We start from the raw sequence: 22,946 nt of genomic DNA, 5'->3' as shown, positions 1-22,946 counted from the left end.
TGAGTCTGTGCTAATGGAAGCACATGTGGACAGACAGCGGCACAGCCCCAGCTGGGTCCACAGCCTGTATTCCTGACCCAAACTCCTCCCATCCCATGGAAATGACACTGAAACCTTTCTGCGCTCTGTTTTGGAATCTTTTAAAATAGTATAAAAATCTTTCTCCTGAAGCCAGGTGTCATGACTAATTTGTATCCTTTCAGTGACAAGGATCCAGGCGGCCTTCTTCTTTTACCTGAGAAGAACGACCTGGCCAAGATGAACATCAGTGAAGTCCTGGCGGTCATGGACACTCTCGTCTCTGTTGCTGCTCGAGAGGTATCCAGTGGCTGCCTCCCTGTTTTCTTTGTCTCATGCTTGTGGGGGCACGTGATGTGGCAGTCTCTTGTGCCCCCCTTTGCCTCTTTGCAGTATGAATGTACTTTGTTGTGGTTTTTTCTGTTGTTGTTGTTGTTTTGAGATAGGGTCTTGCTCTGTCACCCGGGCTGGGGTGCAGTGGCACAATCACAGCTCACTGCAGCTTCCCCATCCCAGGCCCAAGCAGTCCTCCCACCTCAGTCTCCCAAGTAGCTGGGACACAGGCACACGCCACCACGCCCAGCTAATTTTTAAATTATTTGTAGAGATGGAGTCTCTCTTATGTTGCCCAGGCTGGTCTTGAACTCCTGGAATCAAGAAATCCTCCCACTTTGGCCTCCCAAAGTGTTGGGATTATAGGTGTGAGCCACTCTGCCTGGCATGAATGTACTTTGTTACTTGACTCTTACAAATGATCACAAAGGTTTCCCAGCCAGCCCTTGCAAACGAGTGAGGGCATGTTACGGTTCTTGGTAGTCAGCAAACGATAAAAACACAGAAGTGCTCGATAATGCTTCCTGTGGAAAAAGAGGAATGGATTTATATCAAGTCCCCTTGTAGTGGTTGTCAGTGAGCCCAACACACAGATATGTGTTAGTGGTGTGAATTTTCAGGAAAACTACTTGGACTTTAAAAAAGAAATTCAGGACCGGTCACAGTGGCTCATGCCTGTAATCCCAGCACTTTGGGAGGCCAAGGTGGGCGGATCACCTGAGGTCGGGAGTTCAAGACCAGCCTGACTAACATGGAGAAATACAAAAATACAAAATTAGCTGAGCTAATTTAATTTTTAATTAAAAATTAGTTCCCTTTCTACTAAAAATATAAAATTAGCTGGGCGTGGTGGCACATGCCTGTAATCCCAGCTACTCGGGAGGCTGAGGCAGGAGAATCGCTTGAACCTGGGAGGCGGAGGTTGTAGTGAGCCAAGATCGCGCCATAGCACTCCAGCCTGGGCAACGAGCGAAACTCTGTCTCAAAACAAACAAACAAACAAACAAAAAACAAAAAAAAAATTCAGATTTCTTAGCAATTTCGTGGACTAATCAAATCTGAAAGTATATTATCTTTTTTCTGTGTTAGTGATTTTTTAAATTTGCCTTTTTTAAAAAATATAAGGGATTTTCTTTCTTAAAATGTAGTTTATGCTCCAAGTGGATCAGTCACTTGGGATATTTGACAGAAAAAAGATTTCTAGATCCCACCCTAAGCTACTGATTCAAGATCTCTAGGGATAGGGCTTAAGAACCTGCATTTTTCTAAGCACCCCGAGAGATTCTAAAGTGATAGCACCCCTGTACTAGGAAACCAAGAACTATCTCTTTGGGCTAAATATGGGAACCAGAGAGCTGGAGGAGATTTTGTGGTAGACTAGTCCAAACCACATCTTTGAGGTATCTAATGATGTGGACTTGAAGGTAACTTTTCTTTTGTGGCTGATAACTTATCTTGTATCTTTTGACTGAACTTAGTGTCTTTAAATCTCTTACATTTTTGCGGGTGCCTTACTGTTTTGAGTTGCTGTTAGAGCCATGATTTCATTCATTCCCAGCTGCCTGGCATGATAGGCCATCAGCAGGTGTCTCCCCCAATTCACTGATGGGGACCTCAGAGCACCTGTAGGGTGCCTAGGTTATCATTTGCCAAGGTTGCTCTTAGGCTGACCACTGTTTAGATCTAGTATTAATTTAGATCTAGGGTAACGTTGACTTTATAAGCCTCAACTTTGTTTTTAATTAAAAAACTATGCTCTATTTTTTGCTGTCACATTAATTTTCTCTTACTTTCTGCTTTCTGGCTTATTTCCAGACTCTTCTGCCCATCTCTGAGTCTTCCTTAAAAAACTCACTTCAGTCTCATCAGTATGTGTTCTCGGCCCCAGTTAGCCATGGCTCATTCGAATCTCCATCCTTATTTCTGCATTTCCCATACCTTCCCTTTCTTCTGGAGCTCATCTACATTCTACCTGTTTCTCAGATCCCTGAAGCCTGAACTGAGTTCTCCCCCTCACCAGTCTTTCTTCTGTTGTTACATCATCAGTGCCATTGGGCAGAAAACTTCAGCGTTCTCACCTGGTTCTCATAGGAGTCGATTCTGCCCCGCACGTGAGGAGTGGGTAGGTGCTAGAGCCAGGACTGAAACCGGGGCTGTTTGACTCAGAGCCTTGTCCTCTTTCTGCTAGATAAGATAGGCCAGATTTATTTTAAGATGTACGTGGAGAAATGAGATAGCATTTTGCCCAAGAGAATTTCGCATAATTGTATATACCATTTGGAGATCAGTTGTGTGTCTTTTCTTCTCTTTCACTTACCTGTGGTACAAAAGAAGTTACAGATATCATTAAACCTCCTTGCTAGAGATGCAGCTATTAATGTGTTTCCCTGAATTATCTTTTAGTAAAAGACATTTATGGTTATACTAAAGAGTTAGGGTTCAATCAGGAAAAAAAATTAAAGGTGATCAGAAATGTACCTGGTCTGAAATTTTTCTCAGGAATCTATCAAATTCAACAAATATCCACTGAATGCCTGCTGTGTGTTAGGCCCTGTGCTAGGAACAGGGGATACAGTGATTTTAAAAAAGCACAGTCTTGAGGAGCAAATATGTCATCAGGTAGTTGCAACAATGTGGCAAGTGTCTCTTTTAAGGACTAGACATTCCCAGTATCTTTGAGTCCATTTCCCTCCATCCACATGCCTTTTCATGGCTCACTCTCTTCCTGCCTTGCCAGGCGTAACCATCATCCCGAAGCTTGTGTTCACCATTTCCTTGTTCTTCTTTCTACTTACTCCTACCCAGCACATCTGTATTGCCTGGGTTGTACCTGTAATGGAATCATATAGTGTACAATCTTCCGTATCTGGAGGTCAGATAACCCTTCAAAGAAACTTTTGAGAACAAAGGTGATGGTTAGAGAGCCATGGAGGCATGAATAATGATTTTTTTAAGGTGGGAGAGGTTTGATTAAAGGCTTGAGGGAAGGAGCCAGAGAAAGGACATTTTAAGATGTAAGAGAAAGAAGAGATACCCAGGGGGGTAAGGTTCCTGAGGTGGTAGAAGGAGATGTCATGTGGAATAAAAAACCTTTGTAAAGGTTCCAAAAAGCTGGAGGGAAAGGGGAGTTTTCGTAATACCATCTTTCTTGGTGACTGCTGGGTTGAAAGCTGTTTCATGACTTTTCCGTGGCTATAGTTTGTTTTTGCTGGTGACAGCTGCTGCTTTAGAGGATGCCCTTGGCTATGCTCTGTGAATGGCCTTGTCACGAACACTTTCTGTTTGTCTCCTCCCTTGTAGTGCGAGCTGTTAATGCTCAGTGGGGCCCCAGGGGAGGTGGGCTCTGTGCTCTTCTCCCTGTTCTGGTCCGTCCAAGGCAGCCTGCTATCCTGGTGCTACCTGCAGCTGAAGAGCACGGACTCTGGAGCCAAAGATCTTGCCGTGGACCTTATTGAAAAATGTGAGTTTCAATATAAAATCCATGAAAACAGATGGCGTTTGGGTTTTGACTCTGAGTGTTCTCTTCTTTAGTAACTCATGCAATGAGTGTGCATATGGCTTTCTTCATTACGATTCAGATTCTTGGACTGGTTTGGTCTAATTAAAATAGAATTCAACAGCATGTCTTTTTGTCTAGAGTTTACTCTCTGAGTGTGGTGGTATGCCTAAGTATTTTTATTGTAGAATTAGATCATTTCACAGCCTAAATATTGCTTTTGCAATCATATAGCACTCTTACGTGATGTCTCGCTCTTCAGGAGAGTCTATCCCTGTTTTAATCAAGTCATCTAAAAATGAAAGTCTTGAATTTTAGAAATCTAAGGTGTATGAGCATTGTGACCATTGCTGATTACCGAGAATAATTAGATTCATGTTCTGTAAACTCACAGAAAATTATATGAAACCCAACGGGTGCTGACAAATTATACGTGGAAAATGTAGTTCCATCAAACTTGGTCCCAGCAGCTGTGACGAAAACACTTATATTGGGTCCTGCCACCTAGAGCTTGGCCTGTTAGATTGGTACACCTAATGCACGGGCTCATTGTAAACAGAAGGAAAAGGAGAGGCTGACAGCTGGGTTAGTCAGGCATGGAATTTCACTTCTACAAGTGCTCCTCTACTTCATCAAAAGACAAAAAAAAATCCCTTTAAAAGTGAGTCTTGTACTGAAATTCGCACTGCTTCTTCCTCCAGGAGGAATGCATTAGGACGGCACTTGCTGGCCTTGTGGTCTTCGCTGTGGAACCCCCTCTGCAGCTTCTGGAGTCTCTTTATTCTTGTCTGTGGTGATAACCAAGCATGTGACATTTCTACTATATAATATATTAATTATTTTCTTTGTTTCGGTAGATGTGGGCCAGTTTCTGGCAAGCATGAGAGCGATTTTGGAATCCCTTTTCTCACAGTACAGTGGAAAAACCATAGTAGAAAGATTATGTAACTCAGTGTTTTCAATGGCAGCTCGTCAACTGGTAAGAAAAACTAGCAGCTATTTGTAAAGAACCGGAAGGGGGTTGGGGGTCTGCATCCCCAGGCCCAGCCTAAGGTGGACGCTGAGTGCTTCATCCATCTTCCATTAGGTTATCTTCCTGCTGGACTTCTGCACTTTAGACATCCCACACTGCGTGCTCTTGAGAGAGTTCAGCGTCCTCACAGAACTCCTGAAGAAGCTCTGTAGTGGCCCCGAAGGAGGACTGAGGAAGGTAACTCGAGTCAGCACTTGAGCCGCCCCGTGTTCTCTCTCAGGAGTGATGGGACACACTTAGTGAAGTGGACCACGGACTGCAGATAGGCACAGCTGAGCAGCCTCTAGAAGGCTCCCTTGATTTTATCAGTGGGCTTGCCAACAAGGGTGAATGTCAGTCCAAGTCGATGTGGCCTGGTCAGCATTAGAAAGGAGACGCAGAGGCCGGGCGCAGTGGCTCACGCTTGTAATCCCAGCACTTTGGGAGGCCGAGGCGGGCGGATCACGAGGTCAGGAGATCGAGACCATCCTGGCTAACACGGTGAAACCCCGTCTCTACTAAAAATACAAAAAAAATTAGCCGGGCGTGATGGTGGGCGCCTGTAGTCCCAGCTACTCGGGAGGCTGAGGCAGGAGAATGGCGTGAACCCGGGAGGCGGAGCTTGCAGTGAGCCGAGATTGCGCCACTGCACTCCCGCCTGGGCCACAGAGCGAGACTCCGTCTCAAAAAAAAAAAAGAAAGGAGACGCAGAAAAAGCTGTAGAGATGAATCTCATCATTTTATAGTTGATGAAGTTATATAAAAACCATGTAAGTGAGTGACAAAATTGAAGTCTAGAAGAGAAAATGTATGTTGAAAGGCAAATTACATTTTGTCTTTAGAAGAAATTTCTCCCTTACTTAATTATACATACATAACGTTTAATCACTGTCTTGTGTGAGCTTCTTCTTGTGTGTCTTTTGTGTGCCACAGAGCACAACTCTGTGGCAGTAGAAAAGGCATTTATATTTAACAGGTAAAAAACCAAAGGCCCCCCCCCAACCCCCCGCTCAAAAGAAAAGGGTAGGAGAGGAAGGGAGAGTAGATCCAGATTTGCCAGTGTCCCAGGTAGGAATGTGAGGTCTTTAAACTCCTCATTCAGTACTTTTTCCACTGGGAATTCACACTGGTAATGATTTGTAAGTAGTTCTGTCATAGCGAAAAGGTACAAGCTGGTCATGGAGTTTTTGTGTGTAATAAAAGCACATCTCCTCGGCTGCGTGGTGGACGTGTGTTGATCTGTGTGAAGATGGGAATGTCAGGTTTGTCTTCGAGCCTGCCTGCTGGTTTGTGCAGGGCTGTCAAGGCCATCTGCCTGGAGCACTGATAGAGAAACAGTCTGCTGCATGTGGCTAGGTGTCTAGTGATAGAACCTTTCTTTCCCCTGGCTCATTTGTTATCATAGCTGGATGTTGAGACCTGGCAACAGGAACAGCCTGTGGTGTTACATACGTGGACGAAGGAATCTGCCCACAACTATGAAAATAATTGCCATGAGGTATCCGTCTTTGTTAGCCCAGGGGCAACCTATTTTGAAGTGGAATTCGATGACAGGTGTGAAACTGAAAAAAGGTAAGACTTCTATATTCTTTCACCCCCAAGCGCTAATAGGTCAGCAATGAGAGAAGGAAGCTAATAGAGGTTATGCCTTCACAGGTATGATTATCTGGAATTTACCGACGCTAGAGGTCGGAAAACACGCTATGACACAAAAGTTGGCACTGATAAATGGCCCAAGGTGAGTGATAGTCCCAGAAAGAGGTACCTACTTCTGCACCAATGCTTTTCCTTTTGTCAGCCTTCAGGGGGCAGTAGAGGTAAGGTCTTTGAAGGGAGGCATTTATGTTACACGTTTGTGAAAGGAAGGATTTATATCAGAGTTTGACCAGCTATAGTCTGTCACCTGTTTTGTAAACAAATTTTTTTGGAACACAGCCATGCCTGTTTATCATTTATAGCTGCTTTGGCACTGCAGTGGCAGAGTTGAGTAGTTGCAGCAGACAGCGTTGTCTAGAGTAAATGAAGAGCCTTCATCCTTAGCAAGAAGTGCTGGTGGGTCTAGGAGGATGGCCCAGACCATGTGATGGAAGCCAAGAGTCTGCCTCACAGTTAGAGCTGCTTGAGCTCTTGGGCTGGAGGTTTAGTACTGCCTCAGACTGTTGACCTTCTCTCCATGGTCAGTGGTCTTGGCAGGAGCAGAGGCATGGAAATGTGACCACTGGCTGAGTCGGTAGTGGACAGATGGTCACCCCAGGTGTAGAAAGCTGAGCAGCAGTATTCTGCCAACTCTCCTTCTTCATGGGGTGTGGCTGTGAATGGTCTGTTTCCGTCACCCCTTTGTACATTTCTCCGTTAGTCATTTTGGACATGTGGAAATAGAGATCAATTTTAAACTGAGATGTTTCTCGTCATGAAGAGCATGCTGATTTCTGAAGCACTCCTCCTCTAATCTGTCTGACCACATGATTTCTGTTTGTCTCTAGAAAGTGACCTTCAAGGCCGGTCCTCGGTTGCAGTTCCTCTTTCACTCTGACAGCAGTCACAACGAATGGGGCTACAAATTCACTGTCACTGCCTGTGGGCTGCCCGATGTTGCCGTGTCTTGGGGGCTGGATTTACAGCTCCTCGTCTCCCGGCTGATGGGACGCCTGGCTTCCCAGTGCATGGCGCTCAAGTCTGTGCGCCGTAAGTGCACATCCCTGTGCTTTCCCTTCTTACAACCACGGTGAAGTGCAAGATGCGCGCTTGCCCTCTTGTAGGTCGTTTCCACGTAATGGCAGGGGGTTAATAATACGCCTTTTCAGTTTCCTTTAAACCGAAAGAATAAAGTGTCCACTCAATACCATTGTCACGAAGCTTTTTGCCTTAGACTTTGGAACATAGCAGGAAGGCTGCCATGGGTTCTCTGTCTATGGAGGATAACAGCTTTTTTTTTTGGCAACATTGTCATTTTTTTGCAAGTAGGTGTAGGTATAGTCCAACCAAAAGGCAGGAGTATAGAATAAGTTGATTGCATATCCTTTAAATATGTGAATATTTATGTAAATATATGTAGATATGTGACTATGGATTTTGTTTTAAAGTGATTCATTCAGGGCTGAGCAAGGTGGCTCATGCTGGTAATCCCAGCACTTTAGGAGGCCAAGGTGGGAGGATTTCTTGATCCCAGGAGTTTGAAACCAGCCTGGGCAGCATAGTGAGATCCCTATCTTTACCAAAAAAAATGTAAAAATTAGCCAGGTGTGGTGGCATATGCCTTTTGTCTCAGCTACTTGGGAGGCTGAGGCAGGAGGATCACTTGAGCCCAGGAGTTAGAGGCTGCATGCAGTGAGCTGTGATCATACTGCTGCACTCCAGTCTGGGTAACAGAGAGAGACTCTTGTCTCTTAAAACAAAAGGAAAAAGATGTGTTCAGTATAATTGTTTATTTAATTCTTCCAGGGAACAAGAATTACAGAATAAAACTTTCTACTGTATTTTATTTCTTGATCATTTCTTGAGTTTTTCCAGTTTTAGAAGTAAAATATAGAAAAATTACATAGTGGAAAAAAACAAAGGAAAATAGAATCATCCTTAATCCTAACACTCAGAAGTAACTGATTTTTTTAATATTTCTCCAAGAAAGAAAGAAATAGCTATTAGCATTTTTATTTCCACCTATTCTTTTCTCTTTGCCTATTCTAAACACATCTATGCTGGATATTTATTATTTGCTACAGAATTAAGTTTACAAATTGTGAATGTTTTTCCATAATTAAATGTTCCTGAATGGCCTCGTGTTATATGCCAGAAATGGTTCATATCCTATTTTCAGCTTACTATAAACAGATTAGTCATTTCCAAGGTACCTTGTAACTGAAGTTGTTCCACAGAGCAGCAGTATTTCAGGACTTGGTGGTTTAGCTTAATCTGTGGTATGTGTTTACAAAGTATCACAATTACATTCTGGTATGTGGGTAAACTTTCTCTAAGTTTTAATAGTATCCATGGTTTTTTTTAACCTTTTCTTTCTCATTTCAAAGATTCTCAATATATTAAGGCAAAAATAGAACTGTCATATGTCTTCTTCTCTTTCTAGAGTTAGGAAGTAACATGGTAGTACCTCAGGCAAAAATGGCATTAGTCCTAAGCTCCCCACTGTGGAAACCTGTCTTCAGGCATCAGGTTTGTCCAGAGTTGGAATTAGAAGCAAGCTGGCCCACTCACCCACACCGGAATAGTAAGGAGGTATTTACTCTTCCGTTTTCTTTCTATTTAGACTGGAAACTGCCTGCAAGTATTTATTACTTTAAGTTATAAACACTTGTGTTTCTATCTTACTACCCGTATTAAGCAGTTAGCTCCTTGAGGCCAGAAACTATACCTTGTTAACTTGTTAACGCCACCGTGTCCCACAGGGGCCAGTGCGCAATAGGTGTTCAGAAATACTGAATGCGTGACTTGGGTGAAATGTAGGAGGTGCTCAGTAAATCTCTGTTGATGGAGTTATCAGGCAAACAATTGAGTGTACTTCTAGTGCCTACTGAGTCAAGCTTTAGAGCAATGATTTGTGCTATACCTTTTGTTCTCCTTAGAATTACAGCACATGATTTAGGTGTATAAGATTTTAAAAACTAAAAAGTTTGCCCTGTCTTTATTTTTCACCTCTCCTTCCCTCTATTTCTGTATTCTACTTTTCTTCCTTCCCCTCCCTGCCCTGCCCCACGTTATTCAGTAGTTAATTGCCAAATCCAGTGGCTCTTCCTCAGCTTCTGTTCTCCTTGCCTCTGTTAAATTTGGCTCCTTCAGACCCTCTCTTCTTTGGATCCATGCTAGTCCGCTGTCTTCTCTTACATCTGACTGCCCACTTGCCTCCTTCATTGACTTTTCATATTCCTCCTTCCCTAAAGGGTAGGCTTTATTCAGGCTTTCTTCCCTTCCCCACAGCCCACCAAGACTTCATCCTCTCCACTTTCTTCTCCTGTCAAACATTGTGGCCCTAATTCCTAATATCAGTCTCCAGGTCTGGTTTTCTCCCCGCTCCAAGTACCTGTTTCCATCTTCCTGTGAGGCATTTCCATTTAAATGTCCTGACTCCCCTTAACTCAGAAGTGTAAAACCAAAGACCGGTCACTTCTGTGGTGGTCAGTGTTCCCCAGGCCTGAAGCCACTGCTCCCTAGCATCCCCTGTCCTCACCTGTCTCCCCATTCCTGTCCAGTCAGCTTGCAGGTCCTGTGGATTCTTCCTCATGATGTTCATCTCTGTCCTTTCCTCTGTCTGCATCTTTATCCGGGCCCTCATTTGCACCTGCCTTATGACATTCGTACCTACCAAGTTTTTTTTATAATCACTGCATTATCTTGTCATTCCACTGCCAAGCACCATTAATGGCTCCCCATTGCCCACAGGGTGAAGTCTAACTCCTCAATGTGACAGTCAAGGCTCTCTGCAGTCTCCTTTCACCTTACCTATCTGACTCTAGTTCCCATCACTCCCCAGCTGAGACTTCAGGCCAGGTCAGTCTCCCCACTGACTCGTAACCTCTGCTAATGGTTATGTTCCTCAGAGCCAAATCTGCCAATCCTTCAGGGTCCAGGCCAAAGCCCATATCCTCCAGGAGGCTTTTCTTAATTACTTTAACCTACCAGGATCTCTCTCCTTTGAATTCTCAGCACTGGGTATCCCTTCTAGGCATTTGGCACTTGATAATCTTTTGCTTTACGGGAATGCTAGTTCTAATGCTTTTAATGTTTTATTTATGTTTATCTTTTTTTAACTCATATCTCTGTCTGGTCTTCCTAAAATAGATTTAAACTTCCGGAGAGTGTTCACTGTGTTTTATACTTCTGCTTTGGCCTAATAGTTTGCTCAATAAATTTTATTTTTTGAATGAATGTGTTAAATGTGATGGGTTTATTTTTTGTTTCCAGGTTAAGAACATTCCTGACGACCCCTGCCGCCATTTTCTTCTTGATTTTGCCCAGTCAGAGCCTGCTCAGAACTTCTGTGGGCCATATTCAGAACTTTTCAAAGGATTCATACAGGCATGTAGAAAACAGGCCCCAAAGACAGATATAGTTGCTGGTTCCACTATTGATCAAGCTGTGAACGCCACCTTTGCTGCTCTGGTGTATCGCACTCCAGATTTATATGAGAAGCTGCAAAAATATGGTAACTTTATTACAGGGAATATTTTTGATCTGAAGGCTAATTGCTAAGTTTTAAGAAAGCCTATCTTAAGTGAACATTTAAAATATTTTAAAATATAAACACATTTCTATAACTGTAAACATCATCTTGTTGGTTCTACTTTGCCTATTAAAAGATTCATGGCCACTTTATGGTTAGCAGATTATAATGTGTGGCACCTAACCTTGAGTTGCAAAATTAGCAGGTAAATTATCTTTATCCAGAATTCTCATGGAAAACTGCTGAGAAATTTAATGGAAAGAAACCTTAACTTGGGTCCTGGTCCCAGTGCAAAAACTCAAAAGTTGTGCAGCTTCAGGTTAATCAGACGACCTTTCTGCACCTCAGTTTCTTTATCTGTAAAATTGGTTTAAGGGTGATTCGCTCTAACATTCTAAGAAATTCCAATTAAAACCACAGATGTTTAAGTTCTTGAATGTAGTAATAACCAAGGAGGAAGCTGTAGGTATTAACTATTACCTTTAGCTAGCTTGCAGCGCCTTCGTAGCATCACCCCACTAGGCTTCCTTTGCTGATAACCTTCTCCTCACCATCTCTTTTCCTCATGTCTCTTAGGGATGCCATCTCTGTATTTACCCTGCTTCCCTGCCGCCTAGCAGGACCCACACGGAGGGAGAGTCTCTCTCTACCTTCATACTAATTCAGGGGAAAAGTGTTTCAAGCCCTACCTAGAGATAAGGCATGGGCTTCCTAACCGCCTGGCAGGGTATGTCTTCTCCACGCAGCGCAGGCGGGAGAAGCAAAAACAGAGCTTCCTTCCACTAGAGTGGGTAATTGACTGTTGCTCATTTTGTTTTGTTTTGTTTTACTTTTTGAGACGGAGTCTCACTCTGTCACCCAGCCTGGAGTGCAGTGGCGCGATCTTGACTCACCACAACCTCCACCTCCCGGGTTCAAGCGATTCTCCTTCCTCAGCCCCCCGAGTAGCTGGGATTACAGGCACCCATCAACACGCCCGGCTAATGTTTGTATTTTTAGTAGAGACGGGGTTTCGCCCTGTTGGCCAGGCTGGTCTTGAACTCCTGACCTCAGGTGATCTGCCTGCCTCAGCCTCCCAAAGTGCTGGGATTACAGACGTGAGTACCGCGCCCAGCCTCGTTTTGTTATTATTGATATTTTTATTCCTACCACCTTTATTGCTCATTTCTTTGGATCTCACATTGCAGAATTTATTTTCTGATTGTTAAAACATCTTGATTACATCCCCAAATCTTAATATCTCCTTTAAAAAGCTGCTCAAATAAACAAAACTGTGTTGAGACATGAGTGATTTATGGAAACAAATGTCATATGGAAGAGTTTTTCTCTGCTGAGGAATCGAGGGGGTGATGTAACCTGTATGGTTTTGGCGGGGGGAATGTCAATATGTATTTTTGTAATCAAATTATAGTAAGAAAGCTGGATAATCTTTTTACTTGAAGGAATTTTCAGTAGAGGGATAAAAGCCTGTGGGTTAAAAGCTGAGAAATGGAAGGCTTCCTGCTGTGGGAAACTTCAGGCTGTGTTCAGATACCACATACCTGTTTGCAGAAGAGAAAACACACAGTCAACTGTGGGAACTCTACAACTGTGGGAACTCGGAATGTCTTGCTGTGTGCAGGTTGTTTCTAGAATGCCTGCCATTATTGGTTTGAAGGAGGCCAGGCTTGTCTTAGTTCTTTCTGTCTCTGCCTTTGTGATATAGATATTGATATAGATATTATATGTCTAAGGACTATTTCTGAGTTAAGACTGAACTACTTTGAGAATGGTCTTTGTCTAGCAAATTTGCTCATCTTTGTCTAAAAATTAGTCACTCTTTGGGGTTAGAAAGGGTGGGGAGGAGTTTTTCAACTTGAATATAAGCTGCTTGAGGGCAGGAACTTTGTTTTTCTCAGCATAATATTCCCAGTGTCTGGTACAGCCCTGGCGTATTCCAGGGCTTCAGGAATTACTTACTGCATTGTAACATAGATGCAAAAGAGAGCTTCATGCTGTTCTAGTATATTATCCTTTGGGTTTTAGCTGAAGAGAAGGGGCAAGCCTCATAGATCTTTCTTTAAAAATTTTTTTTGTTAGGCTGGGTGCAGTGGCTTTACGCCTGTAATCCCAGCACTTTGGGAGGCCAAGGCAGGTGGATCACCAGAGGTCAGGAGTTTGAGACCAGCCTGGCCAATATGATGAAACCCTGTCACTACTAAAAATACAAAAATTTGCCAGGTGTGGTGGCAGGTGCCTGTAATTCCAGCTACTCGGGAGGCTGAGACAGGAGAATTGCTTGAATTGCTTGAACCCGGGAGGCAGAGGGTGCAGTGAGCCAAGATCGCGCCATTGCACTCTAGTCTGGGAAATGAGCAAAACTCTGTCTCAAAAAAAATTGTTATTTTTCTAATTATAAACAAAACCTGTTTATGTAGCAACCTAAGTATAGAAAAGCTTAAAATAATTATCAGCTACAGTCTCACCACTTAGAACCTTTATGAATGTTTTTCTATTTACCTGGACTTTATGTAGGTATATTCATATGTATGTATATTTGTATATATATATGTGTATCCATACACATTTTATTTTTTTGTTTGTTTTTAGAGACAGGGTCTTGCTCTGTTGCCTAGGCTAGAGTGCAGGGGCACAGTTGTAGCTCACTGTAACCTTGAATTCCTGGTCTCAAGTGATCTTCCTACCTCAGCCTCCCTAGTAGCTAGGACTACAGGTGCATGCCGGTGTGCCTGGACAATTTTTTATTTTTTGTAGAGACAGAGTCTTGCTATGTTGCCTAGGTTGGTCTCGAGCTCCTGGCCTCAAGCAATCTACCTTCAGTCTCCCAAAGCACTGGGATTGGAGTTTGAGGCTGCAGGGAGCTATGATGGTGCCACTGCACTCCAGCCTGGGTGATAGAGTAAGACCCTATCTCTTAAAAAAATTTAAACAATAAGAATAATAAAAATAAAAAGTGCTGGGATTATAAGCATGAGCTGCTGCACTTGGCTTCCATGTTTTAAATATATAAACTCTCTTTAAATAAGATCATTTTATTTATACTGTTTCATAACCTGCTTTTTTACTTAATATACCATGAACTTTCTTCCATATCAATAAATACTTTTTTACTCACTGTTAATATTCTAAAATTTTTACTTTTAGTATTTTTATATCTTTTAATATTTTACACACTTTTAAAATTATTTCCATTTTAGAAATTATTAGTTTGAAAAAAGTTAGTTTGAAATAACACAGGAACCCACACAGGTATTTGTGGCTTAATTGAATATTTTTTTCCCTGAGTCTCTCTTACCATCCTCAATGTGTGATTGTCAGGAGGACTTTTCCTGTACTTCAGCAGATTTAGATTTTTTGTGCTTAATGTTGCAGTAGTGAATTGTGTTACCTGAATGTAATCTCCATCTCTGCTTCTCTCCCCAGTCAACAGTGGGGGCAAAATAGCCCTGAGTGAAGAGTTTGCCCAGGTTTATTCCTTGGCAGATGGGATTCGAATATGGATGGTAAGATTTTCTTTGCATGTGATTTTGCTATATTTTAGGTTTTCTACCGTGATATCATGGAATTAAGATGAATTGTTCTCTTCTCAAGAATATAGCTTTAGGATTTTTGTTAAGCTAAAGTTTAGTGACATGAATAGATATAAAACAATTTAGAACCCTTGAAATTATAGTCTGGACAGTTGAAAATAGAGGAAACAGAATTTAGTTGACCCCTCTTTACATCCCTTCGTGGAACTCCGTAGAGTTGGCGGAACAGCATCGCTTTAGATACTAGGTAACCATGGCCAGTTTTAGGTCTCAGCATCACGTAGAGATGTCCCCTCTGAAATTTTGGTTCAATCTGCAGCAGACTGGGTTTATGACCCTAGTAAGACTCTTCATTTCTCTAGATCTCAGCTTCTTCTTTATCAGTACTAGATAGGCTTTAGAGAAAGCCCCCTGCAGCACCAGTGTTCTAGAAATTTTTAAGTAATAAGGTTGTGAGTATTACAAACCCCTCTAAATGATACAACTGTGAAGTACTCTGTGGTGTCAGTGCTGTGTGCTTTTGAAGTAGTTTGCCATGGCTGTCCTTGCTTCCCTGCCTGGACAGCATAATGATGTGGCTCAAATTCTCCCCTAGTTAGAGATGAAGCAGAAGTCCCTGATGAGCCTGGGGAATGAAGCAGAAGAAAAACATAGTTCAGAAGCTACTGAGGTGAACCCTGAGAGCCTGGGTGAGTGTGCTAACACCAGCTGTTGTCCCTGAGCCTTCTGTTTTCGTTTTAGAGCCTGGAAAACCAATTACTCACCTTCTAGATTATCTTAATTGAGGCTGTGTTGACCTAGGGAAAGTAACACAGATGCTAAATATAGTATCCAAGGATGTATCATAAATAGAGAAAATCCCAAAGAGGAGTAATGTTTTATTGGCCTGCTCCAAATGGAACATCTTTCTAATCACTTCTCTTAGGCGGCATCAGGTGCTTTTTGAGCTACATCTTTTTTCTTTTTTGAGATGGGGTCTCGTTCTGTCTCCCAGGCTGGAGTGCAGTGGTTCAGTCATATAGCTCACTGCAGCCTCCCACTCCTGGGCTCAAGCAATCTTCCCGCCTTAGCCTACCGGGTAGCTGGGACATCAAGCAGGTGCCACAACACCTGGCAAATTTTTTTTTCCTCTTTGTATCGCCTGTGTTAAGCAATTAAAAACTTTTTTTTAGAGAAGGGGTCTCACTGTGTTGCCCAGGCTGGTGTCAGATTCCTGGCCTCAAGTGATCCTCCCACCTCAGCCTCCCAAAGTGCTGGGATTATAGGCATGAGCCACTGCACCTGGCCTTGTTATGATTTTAAAGTGTGCTCACACTGAATATTCAGTGAAATAAAAGAATTACTATTATTTTTTAAATATTATGGTTGTTATTTTTTAAAACTCATATATTTTTAAGAGAAATATGCTAAAAATTTTTACAGATAAAATAGTGTGGTGCTGGAATGTGTGTGGAAGTAATCCGGGGAGTGAGGGGTTGATGGGGGTGAAACAAGATTGGCCGTGAGTTAATAATGACGGAAGCTGAGTGACAGGTACATGGAAGGGTCCTTATGGTATTTTCTCTATATACATGTTTGAAAACATCTACAATAAAACTTTTTCTAAAAAGTGTGCTGATAGTACTGGCGAGATTTTGATTTCTATAATGAGATAAAATTTGATTCTGTTCTTCTATTCTGTCAGTAAATATGTGTATCACTTTTTCGTTTTTTGGTTTTTTTGTTTGTTTTTTTTTTTGGAGACAGTGTCTCACTCTTTCGCCCAAGCTGGAATGCAGTGGCATGATCTCGGCTCACTGCAGCTTCAACTTCTCAGACTCAAGCAATCCTTCAGCCTCAGCCTCCCAAGTAGATAAGATTATAGGCGTGTGCCACCATGTCTGGTTAATTTATTGTTTTTTTATAGAGATTGGGTTTCACCATGTTACCCAAGCTGAGGTATCACCCCAAGTGATCCTCCTGCCTTGGCCTCCCAAAGTGCTGGGATTACAGGCGTGAGCCACCACACTAGGCCTATATCACTTTATTCATGAAGCTGTCTCTTGCCCTAAATTGTGACATTTAACTTATTTTCTCTACAGAAGTAGGCAATAAATTTAAACTTTTTTTTTTAACTTTAAATTCTAGGGTACATGTGCACAACGTGCCGGTTTGTTACATATGTATACATGTGCCATGTTGGTGTGCTGCACCCATTAACTCATCATTTACATTAGGTATATCCTCTAATGCTATCCCTCTCCCCTCCCCCTCCCCCATAATTTTAACTTTTTTTTTTTTCAATTATGATTCTTGTTTGCATCTAGCAAAAGAGTGCATTGAGAAGAGTCTTCTATTACTAAAATTTCTGCCCACGGGCATAAGTTCAAAAGAAAGCTGCGAAAAGTTGGAGACTGCTGATGAAACCAGTCATCTCCAGCCACTCAACAAGCGTCAGAGGACAAGCTCTGTGGTGGAAGAGCATTTCCAAGCCTCAGTATCTCCCACTGAAGCCGCACCCCCTGCCACAGGAGACCAGAGTCCTGGCCTGGGCACCCAGCCAAAGCTGCCATCCAGCAGTGGCCTTCCTGCTGCAGACGTGTCCCCTGCCACAGCTGAAGAGCCCTTGTCACCTTCCACACCCACCCGCCGGCCTCCCTTCACCCGAGGGCGACTCCGGCTGCTCTCCTTTCGATCCATGGAGGAGGCCAGACTGGTGCCCACAGTGAAAGAGAAATACCCTGTGCTGAAGGACGTCATGGACTTCATTAAGGATCAGTCGCTCTCGCACAGGAGGTAAGCCCGTTGTTACCTTCCTGTCGCTTTCTCTTTTTAAGCCGTAGGTACCCAGTCTAGTCAGAGGCTTGAAGTTCATGTTAAAAACGAACAAATAATATTTAGGATAGATCAAGACTTGTTTTAGAATATTCAAGAAAAGTTTTGATTTTTTTTTTTTTCTTTAAAGAAGTAATTTTTGGGTGGGCACGGTGATTCATGCCTATAATCTCAGCAGTTTGGGAGGCCAAAGTGGGAGGATCACTTGGGATCAGGAATTCAAGACCAACCTGGGCAACATAGTGAGACCCCCCCCCCTCCATCTACAAAAAATTTTTTTTAAAAATTAGCTGAGGCTGGGTGCGGTGGCTCACGCCTGTAATCCCAGCAATTTGGGAGGCTGAGGCAGGTGGATCACCCGAGGTCAGGTGTTCGAGACCTGCCTGGCCAACATGGTGAAACCTCATCTGTACTAAAAATACAAAAATTAGCTGGGCGTAGTGGTGGATGCCTATAATCCCAGCTACTCGGGAGGCTGAGGCAGGAGAATTGCTCAAAGTTGGAAGGCAGAGGTTGCAGTGAGCCGAGATCACGCCACTGTACTCCAACCTGGGCGACAGAGCAAGACTCTGTCTCAAAAAAAAAAAAAAAAATGACCTGAGTGTGGTGGCACCTGCCCGTAGTCCCAGCTACCTGGGAGCCTGAGGCAGGAGGATCACTTGAGCCAGGTAGGTTGAGGCTACAGTAAGTCAAGATTATGCCACTTAACTCCAGCCTGGGTGATAGAGCAAGACTGTCTGAAAAACAAAAAAAAGATATTTTTTCATGTAAGATTTATATATTATACTGTTTATAAAGTATATCTCAAGAACGTACCGTTAGAATTTTAAAAGGAAGCATTTTTTGGGTAGCTGCCACTTATAAAACTGTCTTATTTTAACCCAGGGAGAAATTTGGATTTGGCATTTTCTAGAAACATGGCCGCCCTATGTTACCCAGGCTGGTCTCAAATGCCTGGGTTCAAGGAATCTTTCTGCATCAGAGGGTTACAGGCATGAGCCACCACACCCAGCCAGGATTTGATATTTTCCAACAAAATTATTTGTTCATAGGCCTACATCTCTGGAAGTATTGCATGTTTAAGTTAGTGAGGAATTTCCTGTCCTAAGAATTAAGGCTTTGTCTCTATGGAAAGTGAAAATATCAATGTTCCTTTTTAATTCGTTAAGTTAAATAATGGGTTGTCGGACTTCTGGACAGTTGGCATGAACTGATTTGTAGTGCTGCTGAGTGATGACTTAAAAATAGTAAAGAGGTATTGGTACTTCTCCTACATGGTGTTTCTAATACCTCACAATAGTGTTTCCTCTTTGATATATGGCATCAGGGCTTTGGCGGGGATATTTTCCGTCTGCCCCAGCTCAAGAGTTTTCTGGGTGTTCCTGACTTGCATTGTGTCTCCAGTGTTGTGAAGGTTCTTTCCCTGAGGAAAGCCCAGGCCCAGAGCATCCTGGAAGTCCTGAAGATAACTCAGCACTGTGCAGAATCCCTTGGGCAGCCCCACTGCTTCCATCCACCTTTCATACTTTTCCTGTTGGAACTTCTGACCTGTCAGAAAGATTTTACCAAGTAAGTACAAAGGACAGGTCCAGAAGGAAAACAGCAAAGATCATTGTAAATAAATCCTGATTATCTTCTCTGATTAATAGCAGCATCATTTCTATGTAGGATACAAATGTACGTTTTTGGTTAATTCATTCTCTCATTCCAAGGAAAGATGGGTTATATCCTTTTAATATGTAACTGCCGGGAACATATTTATTCCTCCTGGTGAGTTGATGAGCTTTACTTTCCAGATGGTGAGAATTGCATTCCTCATATACTCATGCATCATTTGGCTCCTGGAAGCTGTGAGCTAAATATAAGGCTTACAGAAAAGATATTAATCTGAGTACCTCAAAAGGTGGTTCTTAGGATTAACTCAATAAATACCTTTTGAGCATCTAGTGTGCTAGAATGTCTTCTGGGTGTTATGCAGCAGTAGACAAGGCAGATTTTATATTATATTGAGGAGAGAGAGACAGTAAAAAACCAAATAAATGAAAAAATACCAGATAGTGATATTGTTATGTGGTGATTAATACAGTGACCTAGTTTGGATGGTCAGGGAAGGCAGGCTGAGGAGATGAAAGCCAAAGAGGTGAATGACCAGCTAAGATCAGAGAGAAGAGCCTTGAAGGCAGAAGGAACAGTGCAGAGGCTCCAGGGGGGGAGTTAGTCCAAGGAACAGAGCGAAAACCAGTGTGGCTGAGTGACAGGGAAAATGGGATGGGATAAGGTGAGAAAGGCAGGACCCTTATCACTGTAAAGTATTTCGATGTTATACCAAGTTGTAGTTGGGAAACCACTGGAGATTTTTAAGCCCAGGAGGATCACACTTTGTTTTATATTTATAAGAGGTGCCCCTGGCTGCTGTGTGAAAAGAGGTGGAAATAAGAAAAGCAGTTAGGAGTCTGTGGCAGTAGTCCAGGCAAGAAATGATGGTGGTTTGATCCAGAGAATAATACTGGAGATGGGGAGGAAAGGATGAGATTCAGAATGCATTTTAGAGGTAGAGTTGTCAGGACTTACGGTTGGATAAGATGGAGAGGGTAAATGAAGGAAAGGAATCATGGGAAACTCCTAGGATTTGGGAGTGAACAGCTGGTGGATAGTGATGCGTTTTAGTGAGGGAAAGAGTATGGAAGAAACAGATGGGGGTGAAAATCAAAAGTTTTGTTTTGGCCACGTTAAGCTGGAAATCTTTTTTGTAAAGATACCAAGTAAAGATATTGAGAAAACAGAGGTCAGCGTTTTAACTAAAGTTACGGAAAGAAGTCAGGACTAGGGATAGAATTTGGATGCAGTTGGCATGTAGGTGACATTTAGAGCCATAAGACCTCCTAGAAAGGGTGCAGAGATGGACAAGAAGGGGCCTGGGACTGAGCCTTAGGGACACTTCTTTACCTAGAAGTCAAGCAGAGAAAGGAGTGTCAGCTAAGGAGATCAAGAAGCAGTGGCCAGTCAGGTAGATCAAAAACCAGGGGATGCTGTTGTCCCAGAAGTCAAGAGAAGAATGGATCTCAAAAGATAAGAATGTCAGGTGAGTGCCCTTCCCTGGAAAAGAAAAAAGATAAGAATGATCAGTTGTGTCAAATACTAATGTGAGAGTTCGAAAGAGATAAAAACACACTGGATTTGACAGCAGTCTTACTGGAGCCATTGGCCAAAAGGCCAGCGAGAATGAGGGTGATAAAATGGAGAGACTACAGACATTTAGTTTAAGAAATTTGGCCTCAAAGGGAGCAGAGAAACGGGGAAGTTTTTGGAGGGCGATGTGAGGTCAACTGAGGGTTTCAAAGAGATGTAAGAGTACTTCTGTGTGTTGGTGGGAATGAATCAGTGATAAGGAAACTTGGTGCAGGAAGAGAGGGGATAATTTGCAGTAGCAGTTGTATAAGTTGAGAGATTGGCCTTTGATTGAACCAGGGAGGCTCTTATCTGTAGTAGTGAGGAAATAGGACACACGGTGTCCACAAGTTGGCTGGTAGATATTTGGTGGTGCAAAGGTAAGGGAATTCCTATGTGATTGTTACTTTTCTTTCTCAAGATACCTAAGTTTCTCTTTTAAAAAGTAAAATATAAGGATAGTCATCAGAGAGAATGGAAGGATGAGAAGGAGGTAGTGGTGGCATCAGGAGAAGCAGGAAGGGGTTTTTTGGTGGGGGTGGGGGGTTGAGTGTTTTTTTTGTTTGTTTTTTGTTGTTGTTGTTGTTGTTTGTTTTTTTGTCTTGAGACAAGAGTTTCGCTGTGTCACCCAGGCTGGAGTGCAGTGGCATGATCCCGGCTCACTGCGGCCTCCGTCTCCCAGGTTCAAGTGATCCTCCCGCCTTGGCCTCCTAAGTGTGTGCCACCACACTCGGCTAATTTTTGTATTTTTACTAGACACTGGGTTTCCCCATGTTGGCCAGGCTGGTCTTGAACTCCTGACCTCAATTGATCCGCCCGGCTCAGCCTCCCTAAGTGATGGGATTACAGATGTGAGCCACCATGCCTGGCCTATGGGAAGGTTTGATAGTAATGAAAATTGAGAAAGCCAGTCTACTGAATTGCCTGACAATTTTGAGGGCTTATTTGATCATTATGGTTGCAAATTTAAAGTCATACTAGTCAGCTTGCTTGTGTGGTGTTTCCTCCATGACATTCAGCTGTTTTGATATAGGTATAAGATTTCTCAGGCAAGTACATGGAGGAAGGAAGGGACACGGGAGTTAGTGTTTGCTAAGGTATGATTATGGGCCATGGAATCTAAGCTGAGAAGGGAGCAGAGAGAAAGCATGGCAGGAGTAGTAGATAGTGAACATGAGGCAGCGTCCTGGGCTGACGCCCACTGGTATTGAAGAAAAGGCTGCTGTTGGAGTCCTACCTGGGTGAGCAGGAGAGCTGGGGTCAGAGTAGGGTGCTCTGGCATCAGTGTGTCAGAGATGATGTCATCACATGATAACAAGGTCCAGGAAATGACCATCAAACTAAGATGGCTAAGGGCGTGGAAGAGAAGATCACTGGAGATGCAGATGGCAGAGAATTGAGGGAAAAAGGAATGGAGACATCATTTTCATGGATGTTGAAGTCACCAAGATGGCCAGGATCATGGTAGAAAAGACAGTGAGGCTGGTGCCAAAGTCATCAATGAAGGGAGGCAGAGGGGTGAGCGTGATTGTGTGGAGAGGATCAAATGAGGTCATTTGTGAAAAATACTTAACACAGTATCTGGCACCCAAGTAGTGGTGGGAGGGATGGGTTTATATTCACAAAGAAGATAAATAATCTCATCTCCATGCTTCTGGGTAACTCTCTTGAGCCCGTCAGAGGGACTCACTTGCTGTTTTGTGTGTTACCTTCTATAGGTATTATATTTGTATTTACTTAAGTTCCTGTGCCGCTTTGCTCAGCTGACTGCCACTTGCTCTTTTTCATGTAAGAAATCATTATTATTATTAAGAAAAAGATGTTCTGGCAATTAAGTGAATCAGTGATTTCCTCTGTTTCTAGTTATTTTGGACACCTGGAAGGCTGTGGTGCTGATCTACACAAAGAAATTCGAGACACTTACTATCAACTTGTTCTGTTTTTGGTCAAAGCAGTTAAAGGATTTAGTAGCCTAAATGACAGGTACTGGATAACTTTATCATTTCTAGAGAAAAAAAATGTATTTTTTTCTGATTATAAAAGAAATATATGTTCACTGTCAAAAATACCAAAAAGCACAAAGAATAAAATAAAAATAACCTCTAATGTTACCACCTAGAGAGCTAATCACTAATGTTAACTTATTCGTATATTTTCTCCCAGTCCTTTTTCTGTCTGGTGTGTATATTTTCTTTTTAAGGGGATGAGTCTGGGTTTTTCTAAGAATTTATAGCCTATTATTTTCTGTTTTGGTATATTAGGGATTTTTTGGTTTGTTTTGAGACGGCCTCATGCTGTCACCCAGGCTAGAGTGCAGTGACTCAATTGTGGCTCACTGCAGCCTGGACCTCCCAGGCTCAATTGATCTACTCACCTCAGCTTCCTAAGTAGTTGGGACTGCAGGTG

The 22,946-nt window shown here is 42.7% G+C and overlaps 1 protein-coding gene across 9 annotated transcripts in view; it reads left to right on the top strand.

Moving 5' to 3' along the window:
- Nucleotides 1–22,946, top strand: part of ZZEF1 (zinc finger ZZ-type and EF-hand domain containing 1) — a 138,586-nt gene that overhangs the window by 61,337 nt on the left and 54,303 nt on the right. For 8 of the 9 annotated variants that reach the window (XR_007065288.1, NM_015113.4, XM_005256561.3 and 5 more), the window contains exons 18-31: nucleotides 204–318; nucleotides 3,652–3,811; nucleotides 4,705–4,826; nucleotides 4,935–5,057; nucleotides 6,265–6,431; nucleotides 6,516–6,597; nucleotides 7,343–7,544; nucleotides 8,938–9,086; nucleotides 10,770–11,010; nucleotides 14,452–14,531; nucleotides 15,154–15,247; nucleotides 16,865–17,333; nucleotides 18,777–18,941; nucleotides 22,404–22,523. Coding sequence is in view for 8 of the 9 variants with exons in the window: in NM_015113.4 (NP_055928.3) it covers nucleotides 204–318; nucleotides 3,652–3,811; nucleotides 4,705–4,826; nucleotides 4,935–5,057; nucleotides 6,265–6,431; nucleotides 6,516–6,597; nucleotides 7,343–7,544; nucleotides 8,938–9,086; nucleotides 10,770–11,010; nucleotides 14,452–14,531; nucleotides 15,154–15,247; nucleotides 16,865–17,333; nucleotides 18,777–18,941; nucleotides 22,404–22,523 (2,289 nt within the window). In the remaining variant the exon portion in view is untranslated. Of the gene's footprint in view, nucleotides 1–203; nucleotides 319–3,651; nucleotides 3,812–4,704; nucleotides 4,827–4,934; nucleotides 5,058–6,264; nucleotides 6,432–6,515; nucleotides 6,598–7,342; nucleotides 7,545–8,937; nucleotides 9,087–10,769; nucleotides 11,011–14,451; nucleotides 14,532–15,153; nucleotides 15,248–16,864; nucleotides 17,334–18,776; nucleotides 18,942–22,403; nucleotides 22,524–22,946 lie in introns of those variants that run through there. The other variant, XM_017024384.2, reaches the window with a different exon arrangement.

Source organism: Homo sapiens, chromosome 17, assembly GCF_000001405.40.
Source record: "Homo sapiens chromosome 17, GRCh38.p14 Primary Assembly".
Taxonomy (NCBI): domain Eukaryota; kingdom Metazoa; phylum Chordata; class Mammalia; order Primates; family Hominidae; genus Homo; species Homo sapiens.
Note: the sequence above shows the minus strand (reverse complement) of the source record. Positions and strands in the feature narration are given on the sequence as shown.